General features: G+C 38.6%; 2 pseudogenes; both read right to left on the minus strand.

Moving 5' to 3' along the window:
* TFDP1P3 (TFDP1 pseudogene 3) lies at positions 1,086–5,187 on the minus strand (annotated as a pseudogene).
* LOC124903591 (uncharacterized) lies at positions 10,971–11,128 on the minus strand (annotated as a pseudogene).
* Positions 11,129–12,317: the final 1,189 nt, after the last annotated feature.

Raw genomic sequence — 12,317 nt, forward strand, 5'->3', positions numbered from 1 at the left:
CTCCTGTGAGTAATGCTGCCATAAGCATGATGTACAAATATCTTCTGAGCCCCTGTTTTTAATTCTTCTGGGTATATATCAAGAAGTAGAATTAAGGGGAACATTTTTTATCTTGAAATTTTCATATATTTTAGGAAACACGAAACGAGCCTTGAAGGAAATATACCAAGATGTTGACAACTTTCCAATTCAAGGCGTTGTACTACTTTTTTGCAGTTTTCTCCACTTTGCAGATTTCTCAAAATAAACAAATTATAATAAAAAAGAAACTCTTTTAAAAGAAATCACATAACCAGAAAGACTAGAAACTAAACCAGTCACTCTTATGTATATTAAAAAAAACCTTAAACTACAAACTAAAGAAAATCAATAATAAATAAAAGAATGTTCTACGGACCCAATGAGGCTTATCCTGTGAATGAGAGAATGAAGCCTTAGTAGGGAGAAATCTATTAGAAGTCACTACCAGACCAAGGAAGAAAAGTCTCATGGTCGTTTTAATAGACGTGAAAATCTTATTTGCTCCAGTTAGTTTGATCAATTCTAATAAAATATGCTTTGTAACATGGATAAACGCATGTTCTTTAGAAGCAGCTAAATGCATGGTCTTTGGAGCCAGATGCCTGGATTCATGTCCTTTTTCTGTTATTGACATGGGCAGTTACCAATCTCCTTGTGCCCCATGACCCCTCTGTAGCATGGAAATAATGATTTCATGTGAGGATTATATGAAGTCACATATGTAGAAAGAGCCTAGAACAGTGCCTGGCACACAATACCACACAGTAGACACCAATATCAGTGTTTGTGCTGCTGGCGCTGTTAACAATAAAAATAATATCTTTAGCTCAATATCCTCAGGATTATGCTCAAAGGTGACACTGTACCAAAAAATTTCCACTTACCTCAGGAACAAAGACTGCTGTCTACCACCATTTTTATTACAGAGTCTTGAAACAACATAAGAAAGAAAAGACAGTTAACAGTGATATAGATTAATTAGAAAGAGACAAAGTGCCATTATATGCTGATGCTATGACTCCATATCTACAAAAGCAGGGTTTTTGTTTTTGTTTTTGTTTGTTTTTTAAATGCCCATGACCGTTTTATTAATAAAAACTAACAGTGCCAAGTTAAACAAGTCAAACAATTAAAGTCTCTTTATATTCCATAAAATATTACAGAAAAGTTGGTGTTTCAATAAAAAGACTATCATTTTAGAACAGGCAGCTAATAGCAACTGCGCAGTTAATGGGTTTTGTGAATAAATTTTAAAAGAGACTATGGCCTGTCCTTAAATTCCTTTTTCTTTTTATAAAAAAAGAACTATTAAAAATTATTGACAAATTTTGAGTTAAAAAATTGTTAAAACATTCTCTATATTTAATTTCAATTTTATAATAGATTACAGGAAGATGCTTATGAAACAAATACATTTGTTTCAGTACATGTCTTTAAGTGATAGAATTATAAGTATGTAAACAACTATATAATAAAAGGTTTCCGAACACTGCCTGTAAGAAATCAGGCAAATTTTACCATAAGCAATAAACCATTCCAAGCCTTCCAGATAGTCTCCATAGCCGCATCAGCATGGCAATAAGCTTTAACCAAACAAAACCAAACAAAAGCACTTTGCAATTTGTTGCTGCAAAATAGGGAGAGAAAAGAGTGTATAAACTTGATGGAATCACAACAGCCAATATAATTTAAGGGACAATAAAGTCAATAAGGTTGATGGTGTTTATTGTTTAGAAAGTCGAATTCTGCTGTTTGCTTGGGGCTGTTTAGAAAGTCGAATTCTGTTCACTCTGATGGTAGTTTCTTTTGCTGTGCAGAAGCTCTTTAGTTTAATTAGATCCCATTTGTCAATTTTGGCTTTTGTTGCCACTGCTTTTTGTGTTTTAGACATGAAGTCCTTGCCTGTGCCTATGTCCTGAATGGTACTGCCTAGGTTTTCTTCTAGGGTTTTTATGGTTTTAGGTCTAACATTTAAGTCTTTAATCCATCTTGAATTAATTTTTGTATAAGGTGTAAGGAAGGGATCCAGTTTCAGCTTTCTACATATGGCTAGCCAGTTCTCCCAGCACCATTTATTAAATAGGGAATCCTTTCCCCATTTCTTGTCTTTGTCAGGTTTGTCAAAGATCAGATGGTTGTAGATGTGTGGTATTATTTCTGAGGGCTCTGTTCTGTTCCATTGGTCTATATCTCTGTTTTGGTACCAGTACCATGCTGTTTTGGTTACTGTAGCCTTGTAGTATAGTTTGAAGTCAGGTAGCGTGATGCCTCCAGCTTTGTTCTTTTGGTTCGGGATTGACTTGGCAATGCAGGCTCTTTTTTGGTTCCATATGAACTTTAACAAATTTACAAGAAAAAAACAACCCCATCAAAAAGTAGGTGAAGTATATGAACAGACACTTCTCAAAAGAAGACATTTATGCAGCCAAAAGACACATGAAAAAATGCTCATCATCACTGGCCATCAGAGAAATGCAAATCAAAATCACAATGAGATACCATCTCACACCAGTTAGAATGGCAATCATTAAAAAGTCAGGAAACAACAGGTGCTGGAGAGGATGTGGAGAAATAGGAACACTTTTACACTGTTGGTGGGACTGTAAACTAGTTCAACCTTTGTGGAAGTCAGTGTGGCGATTCCTCAAGGATCTAGAACTAGAAATACCATTTGACCCAGCCATCCCATTACTGGGTATATACCCAAAGGACTATAAATCATGCTGCTATAAAGACACATGCACACGTATGTTTATTGCGGCACTATTCACAATAGCAAAGACTTGGAACCAACCCAAATGTCCATCAATGATAGACTGGATTAAGAAAATGTGGCACATATACACCATGGAATACTATGCAGCCGTAAAAAAGGATGAGTTCATGTCATTTGTAGGGACATGGATGAAGCTGGAAACCATCATTCTCAGCAAACTATCGCAAGGACAAAAAAACCAAACACCACATGTTCTCACTCATAGGTGGGAATTGAACAATGAGAACACTTGGACACAGGAAAGGGAACATCACACACCGGGGCCTGTCATGGAGTGGGGGGAGCGGGGGATAGCATTAGGAGATATACCTAATGTAAATGACGAGTTAATGGGTGCAGCACACCAACATGGCACATGCATACATATGTAAAACATATGTAACATACCTGCACGGTGTGCACATGTACCCCAGAACTTAAAAGTATAATAATAATAATAATAATAATAATAAAAAGCCGAATTCTGCTGTTTGCTTGGGGCTGTTTAGAAAGTCGAATTATGCTGTTTGCTTGGACACCATACCACTGAACAAACTCCACAGAGTCTCGCCATCTGCCAGCGGGGGCGCCGTCCAAACTCACGGCAAATAAAAGGCATCAGGTGCTCACCATCCACAACAGGAGGGCGTTTCATTTTCATGGATGTGGATGAAATACAATTTCTTCAGCAAACTCAGCAAAAACTGTTCAGGGGCAAAAATGAACTCCGCACTTAAAGAAAAATAGAAAATGAAAACACAAAATCCTAAAAACTAAATAAACACTCTGCATCTGCACACTGGTATCAAAACACACATCCACAGCACATCCTAATCCTACGGGAAACAATCCTTGCTTATCAGAGGTGCATATCTAAATTCAATAGCTTACCAATATTTTCTTGGGAGTAGGCCAAAAGGAAACAGAAAACCCACATTAAAAAAAAAAATCTTTTCCCTCAACGTTTTCCTGAAGCTGAATTTGAAGTGGGGAGGATGTCAGTCGTCCTCCTCATTCTCGTTGAAGTCATTATCCTCCTCGTCGTCCTCCCCGACGTAAGACACCGGGGTCTCCACCCTGGAGCTGCTGTACTGAGACCCATTGGAACTTTGTGGCCAGCGTCTCATCTGCACCATTGGTCAGGTCACTGGCAGAGAACCTCGTGCCGTTAGACGTGGAACCTGCCATCGTGATGAACACGCCTCCCACAGTTCCCTGAGCCATTTCTGTCACTTACCGCTCCAGAGTCTTTGGGACCAGACTTTTGGCCATTTTAAGGTCCTCAGCAGAGAAGCTCCCGGACTCCACCCGCTTCAGCACTTCTATGTCATCGTGGATTTGAAATGTGTTGTCAAAATTAAACAGATAGTCGAATTTGTCGTTGGAGATGCTGCAGTCGATGACCGTCTTCTTGCTGGTGTTGATGATGATGAAGGGCAGGTGGATGACCGAGTTGGCTGGCGGCGGCTGGCTGGCCTGCCGCTCCGCGTGCCGGTTTCTCTGCACCAGGTTCTTGAAGGCAATTTGCTGTAGAATAAGTTTTGAAGTTGAGACTGTTTCTGTTTTATTCTTTCAAGTCTCCTCTGTCTTTCCACCTCTAAGTTCTGACATTCCTAAGCCGAGTTGGTGGGCAGACCAATCCACTTGATCTCCTTTTTCTCCTTGGAGATGATGCTCACGGCCCTCAGCACATTTAAGGCATCGCAGACGCGCCGTCTTATGTTCTTCTGGTCACAAGCTGACTCGTTTGGTAAGATGTGGTTGTCGGCAGCACTGAACTTCGCGACCAGCTCATCCGCCACTTGGTTGTAGGAAGTGGTCCCTTTCCTCTGCACCTTCTCGCAGACCTTCATGGAGAAATGCCGCAGGCCCCTGCCATTCTCCTCTCCTTTTCTGTTGCGCTTCCCGGCAGACCAAGGTGAGGAGTCGGAAGGCTGGTTCTGAGAGGCAAAGTGAGTGCTGGGGTGTGTGGGCTTCCTACCCCCAGGGCGTTTGACGCTGCCGGTCTCTGAGGTGTACCAACTACCACTTGCTGGGCAATGTTGACATTGGACTGTCCAGAGGTTTTTGCCAAGAGCTGCTCCCCGAGCGGGTTGACGGTGGAGGGGTGAACGGCCACGAGGGACACCACGCCTTTTCCAGGACTAAGGTTCTGGTCTATGAAGACCTTGAGGTCTCCATTGGCTTCAATTAGACCGGCATCTTTTGCCATGTTACCAGATCCGGGAAATCAATGCTACAAATGTTCACCTTCCCAGAGAAGAAAAATGATTTTTCTGGCTGCCCGGTCCGGCCGCGCGGGCGGGGGTGCGGAGAGAGTGCTGTGCGGGGCACGGGGTGGCGCGGGGAGGCGCGGGCCGGGGCCAGGCCGGGCGGTCCCGGCCCTGGCGAGGTCCCTGCCCTGGGCCGAGCGGCGCCAAAAGCAAGTTTTAACTGAAAACCTCCAGAATTAATTTTTTAAGTGTAGTAAATTAATCAGATACAAGATATACATATAAATAAAATAATAATTTCCTTGCACATTACTAAAATGTAAATAAATCTCATCTAAATTATAGCAAAATGTACAAATTATTATACTAAACATATATTTCATGTAAGTGGCTTTATAAACAAAGCATCAAACTTTGGGACAAATTACAAGAAATTTGAATGAAAGTAAAATATAATTCATTCCTGGATGGTGCTATTCATGTTATTGTGGGATATGATGAGGTTTCTCTTCAAATAATCTGATCAATCTTTTATTATTTAATTCGTAGTACCCCCTCCCTTTTTCTTCTTTTTTCCTTTTTGCTTTTGTTAGATGCCCAGGCACGCCACGGTACCAGGCGTTATCAGTACCAGCTCACAACCTTTCCTCATTTGGAAAGAGGACTAACTTTCTAGCTCATTACAGACACCTCTTCCCCTTCCTCTCCATTTTCTTTTCCGTGCCCACCTTACCTAAAAAAAATCAAATGTTTAGACAATCGGGATTAGTTTAGATTGTACAACCCGACCCCGGCCAATGGGGAAAGTGTACAGGGGCAGGACTTGTGTCAGGAATAAAGGCTCTAGTGTCCCTTTGTTCAGGTGTGCTTTCATGGTGACTGGCCAAGGAGGCACCCCTCTGCGCAGAAGTAAAAGTGCTTTGCTAAGAATCCTTTGTTCGAGTGTTCAATTTCCTTAGGATTTTGAGCATTATTCCTAACATCATATTATAAACATATTGGTTTACCTAAATAAATCTATAGATTGAATATAAGGTCAAAACTAATTTCTCTGGATGTTTTCTTGGAACTGGAAAAAAATCCCTAATAGTTAAAAGAAAGAATAAATAAGATAGACTACAAAAAAATTCTGGGATGTGCTAGCTCTGCCAGATACTGAAATGTATTGAAAATCAACAACAATAAAGAGTAGCATACTGGCACAAAGGAAACAAATATTATAATCTCTGTGTGTGTATGTGTGGGAATTTTATGTATAACCAATGAAAGAGCTATCAAAAAAAACACAGAAAAGGGAAGAATTAGTCAATATAATGTTTGCAAAATCAAAGTAATTCAGAAAAAGAAGGAACACCTATAACTCATACAAATCTAACATGGAAATAAATTTCAGCCAGATTTGGGATTTTAAAAAAAAAAATTGAGCACAGAAAGTTAAAATGAAACAGAAATGAGTATTTAAAAAGTGATGGAAGTAATCACAAAAAGATAGGTAATTTATAATATTAAAAGAATAGAAACATCTCTATGTTCTCCAAAAATTTTTTTGAAAAAAGCAAATAAAACCAGGGAAAACATTCTGGAAGCATCCTTATCAGCCACATTGCAGCAAAGTGAAGTGACATTCTGTTTCCCTTTCTCCCTCCTACTCTCTCTCTCTCCCCCGTACTGTGTTAGGAAATGGGACATACATAACTCACCTCCATGTATCACTGAATGTGCTAGACCCACAATAAATGCGGAACTGCTGAACTGAATCGTTAATTATATTAGAGGCAGAAGGAAAATGGCTATTTACAAAAGATGGAATCCAACTAGAAAACTGACGTATGGAAAAAGGTTTCAGCTCCCCAGTGATCAAAGAACCCCAAATTAAAACAACCAGGCATTTCTATTTTTCACCTATGTCATTAACAAAAAGCCAAACAAGATCACAGCCCCGTGGCCTTAAGCAACAGGACAGCCAGGTTGTGGCCACTCCTGCCCCTCACTGGAGCAGGAAGCTGCTTAAGATTTACCGCGATGGTTTCAGCATTGCTATTTCTTTGATTTGCTTATAAAAAACGCAGTAAAATCCAAGCGTAAGCAGCTTGGCGGCCAGAGACCGTGAATGCCCCGTCTTTCTCTAGCAGCAGTTACTGAAAAACCTCCAAGGGCGGTTTTAATTTCCTCTCCTTGTTCATCTGGGGTCTGGTTTCCCAGGCAGCCAAGGTACTGGGTGAACGCGGGGAAACTCATCTATCAATTTTGTGGCTGCCATAGCATGGCGATTTTGAATCTTGCAATAAAACAAGATTAATGGGCTCGACTTCAGTGGGTCTGACATTTCAGCGACAAGGGCTGTATTCGCCAGGTTTCTACACCTCTCTCCTCTTTCTCAGCCATTTTGTAGTCTCAAGCCAGGTCCCTTATGTTCCCTGGGATTCCTGAGAGAATCGTGTAAAAGGGACACGTAGTGTGAGGTAGGAAAAGACAAATCACCCTGATCTCCTCTCTTCAAAGACCAATGGGAATTTCAGTGGGAAACGGGCTCTCACAGTCATGGTGTTGGGATAAAGCATTAGTCATTTAACGGTTTTGGTAATCATTTTATCCATCAACATGCACTTACCACGTGCCCAGCACTGTGCAGCCACCTGGGAGCAGGGAGAGGGGAGACACAGAGGCGTGGTCACAGCACGAGCGAATCAGAGCGAGTCAGAGTGAGTCGGATGCTGGGCACAGGACTCTTGGAGAAAGTAGGACTTGAGCAGGACTTCAGAAGGAGAAGGGACATTTCCTCAGGGAGGCAAACAACATGGGGAGATGTTCCCAAGTGGAGGACAAGAAGCCGCATGCAGAGATGGGTGTGGGAATGCCATGTTGTTTTAGGTCACCATGCCTTCCTGCCTGCTGTTTCCTCACCTAAGACTCCAGCTCAGACCCAGCTCAAGATCCATTCCTGGGCTCCCTTCTTCTTCAGAGCCTTCCCTGTCCCTACCACAGACAGAAGCAACTGCCCCTTCTCTATGCCTCCTCTGCCCCCAACTTATCTTCCCACTGTTACACTCTACACTGACTTATTACTATTATTTTATTGTTTGAAGTTTTTATTAAATTACTATTTACACTGCCTTATCATTATTATATTTATACATCTGTCTCCTGTGATAGATATTGCACTTCCTACAAGTAGCAGCACAGTGTCTGAAACACAGTAGGTACTCTGAAAATATTTCTTGTACTTAATCAAATTAATGAAAACTAATTGGTATACAAGTGAAGAGTAGCTTGGACAGTGCTGACGGAGAAGGGGAGGAGAGCAGAGCATGAGTAATAGCTGCTAACAGCTCACCTGTTTACCTAGCATTCACGACTGGCCAGGTATTTAAGTGCTTTACATGTATTCATTCATTTCATCTTCACAACACAACTATGAGAAAGTTGCTGTTAATATCCCCATTTCACAGATAAGAGTGTGGAGGTGGGGAGGTCAAGGAACTTATCTGAGCTCTCTTGGCCAGCTAGGGAGCAGGCGGGGGTGGAGCTGGGACCTGGAGGTGGTGGGCTGGCTGCGGAGCTCGCTTTAACCACGATGCCTGATGCCTGGCTGCCCCTTGTCACTGCAGGTCACTGTGGGCTTAGAATCCCAAAGTCTGAGAGGGAAATCTTGCCCCATTCCCTGTTCAGTACAAGAATGGCCATAATTAAACTTAACAAATAGCTGTTTATTTTCTGTTTGTTTAAAATCAAGCTTTATTAGTTAACAAGGCAACCTATGGTTTAAAGTATAATTGAAGAAAACTTAATTTACGAAAAAAAAAAAAAAAAAAAACAATGGGCTGGGAGCAGTGGCTCACACCTGTAATCCCAGCACTTTGAGAGGCCAAGGCGGGTGGGTCACCTGAGGTCAGGAGTTCGAGACCAGTCTGGCCAACATGGTGAAACCCCATCTCTACTAAAAATACAAAAATTAGCTGGGCATGGTGGTGGCCACCTGTAATCCCAGCTACTCGGGAGGCTGAGGCAGGAGAATCACTTGAACCCAGGAGGTGGAAGTTGCAGTGAGCTGAGATGGCACTATTGCACTCTAGCCTTGGTGACAAGGGCAAAACTTGAGAGAGAGAGAGAAAGAGAGAGAGAAAATGCATGACTTTTATCACTCTGGGATTAATAATAATAACAAGACTGTGCTTAGCACTTGCCGTGCATGATCTTACTTAGTCCTTCCAACAACCCTTTGAGACAGGTACTACTATTATCATCTCCATTAAAAAATAAGAAGACTGAGGGTTTGTTACACTAGCAACAACAACAAGATAAACTTCCAAGAGCTAGGGAATAATGATAATTTTTAAAAGAGATGCTGAGATGCTAAAGTTAAGGTTGTACAAAGATATATCTGAAAAACATGAAGAAAAACAGGTGTTGCAATATCAATATCAGCAAACGCAGACTTCATGGGTAAAACATAGAGAAAGAAGAAATTGTAATTTTCTGTTGTGAAGTCTAATTCATAAAGGCATGAATATTTAATAGATTGCATTGTTAACAAATAAGATTGCATCAAAATATATTTTTGAATAGAAAGAAATGAAAGGCATAGCAATGAGAGAGGTCAATACTTCTTTAATGCTTCAAAAATGAGGAAAGTATATAACAAGAATATAAAAGGTTTAAATAATAAAGTTAGTAAGACAGACTTAACACATTTACATTATAATCTGGGCCCTGTAAAGCTTACACTTTGTTTTGGTACCAATATATGGCCTATATTGGATGACAAAGAAAATTTTAGTTAAAAATCTCTCCAAAATAGAAACTACATGGACTCCTTTTTTAAGTCAAATAAAATTTTTATTTTAAAAATCCAACCACTTGAAAATATGAAAAAAACAGTATCCCAAATAATTCTAGGGTAAAAGAAAAAATCAAAAGAGTAATTATTAAATGGTTACAAAAATGAAGATGAGGAGGCTACGTATCAATACCTCTGCAGTAATCAAAAACTGAGTTATTGCATTAAGGGTATTTATTACCAAATAAGAAAAAATAAATATAAATTAAGTAAATTACATATATTACAGAGAAAAAATGAAGGAAAAGAGGAGGAAAAATAATGATATAAACAAAAATTAATGATTAGTTTAAAAAAATGTAAAATTGATAATTCATCCAGAGGCTGCTTTTTTCATTAAACCCATAAACTATGCAAAACTTCAGGAAAAGCAAGTGACTATTCAAAATTAGGACTAAGAATAGATATCTAGCTACAGATGAGGAAGAAAATAAAGAATAACACTTTAAACTCTATTCTAATAGATCTGAATATCTGTATTAAAAATCCTTTAAGATTGTATGCCATGGACACCCAACTCCTGCTACTGCAGGAGAAGAAAGAAGCTCTGCCAGATATTAAAAGATATTATCATGCTATAGTAAATAAAAATGTATGGTACTGAGGCATGAATCCACAGACAGGTCAAAGGAAATGAATAGAGTACATAAATTGACACAAATTTATTCAAAAATTTAGCATATAATAAAAGCAGTGTTTAGAAGAAGTGCAGAAAAGACAGATTATTTGCCAAGCAGATCAAATATAAATATATAGTATAATTATTAAACACCACAAAAATGAGAGTTTAAAAATAATTTCAGAAAGCAGATATCTTTCTAACTGTAACACAAAACCTAAAACTTATCAAAGGAAAATATGGGATCAATGTAATAAATTAGATATAAAAAGTTTTCTGCATGACAAGAACATTAAAAAAGACAAGCAATAAACTATGAAGAAATATTTTCAATTTATATCACAACTGGGTAAATTCACCAATATAGGTAAAGAGCTATACAAATCAATAAGAAGTGGAATGCTTTAATAGGAAAATGGACAAAGTATATGAAGACGTATTTTCCCAAAACAGAAAAAGAAATGGATTTTCTTCACATGAAAAAAAAGTCAACCTTTTTTATAACAAGAACAGTGTAATTAGAACTTATGCTGAGTTTTAAAAATTTACATATCAGGTTGATAAGAATCAAAAAGTTTGATGAAATTCAACTTTGGAAACACTGTAGAGAAAGAGATACTCTTAAACACTTCTGATAAGAACAGATACTACACTTGATCTTAGCCAAAAGGCCAAGAAGCGATACTCTTAAACACTTCTGTAGGGAGTGTAAGTTCATATCACCTCCATAAAAGGTAATCTTATCATATCTATCAAACTTTAACTTAATTATTTCACTTCCAGATTATATATTCCACAGATAAACCCATGTATTATAAATATATTCATTGCAGCCGTGTTGTGATAGAAAATATTAGAAACAATTTAAATGTTCATCGATATTTGATGGTTAAATATAGTCCAAACATAGGATGGAAAAGTATACAGTCATTATAAATAATAAAGCAGCTCTATAAAAATTTATATAAAATGGTCTGCTAGATATTAAGTGAAAAAGCTAGATGTAAACAAATTTATATAAATTACCATATATATAAATATGGTAATATATAGACTCCTACATATATATGTATATTCTTACAATCTGTATATGCATGCAATATATCAGGCAGGATACACAAGATTCTGATATTAAGTACAAGCATACCTTGTTTTGCTGCTTTTTATTGTGCTTCTCAAATACTGCATCTTTACAGATTGAAAGTTTGTGTCAACCCTGTGTCAAGCAAGTCTATCAGCATTATTTTTCCTACAGCATGTGCTCACTCATGTCTCTGTGTCATATTTTGGTAATTCTCATAATATTTCAAACTTTTTTATTATTATTATATCTGCTATGGTGACTGGTGACCTGTAATCTTTTAAATGTTACTATTGTAATTGTTTTCTGGCACCACAAGCCATGCCCATCTAAGAGAGCAAACTTAATCAATAAATGTTGTGTGTGTGTTCTTACAGCTCCACCAACAACCTGTTTGTTCTCTGTCTCTTTCCCTTTCCCGGGACCTCACCGTTCTCTGAGACATGACAATATTGAAATTAGTCCACTTAACAGCTCTACAGTGGCCTCTAAGTGTTCAAGTAAAAAGGAAGAGTTGCACATCTCCCACACTAAATCAAAAGCTAGAAATGATTAAGCTTAGTGAGGAAGGCATGTCAAAAGCCAAGACAGGCCATAAACTACACCTCTTGTGTCTAACAGTTAATCAAATTGTGAATGCAAAGGAAAAGGTTTTAAAGGAAATTAAAAGTGCTACTCCAGTGAACACTTACACAATAAGAAAGTGAAACAGCCTTATTGCTGCTATGGAGAAGCTTCTAATAGTTTAGATAGATAAAACTGGCCACAATATTCCCTCAAGTCAAAGCCTA

Source organism: Homo sapiens, chromosome 15, assembly GCF_000001405.40.
Source record: "Homo sapiens chromosome 15, GRCh38.p14 Primary Assembly".
In the NCBI taxonomy this organism is placed as follows: Eukaryota; Metazoa; Chordata; class Mammalia; order Primates; family Hominidae; genus Homo; species Homo sapiens.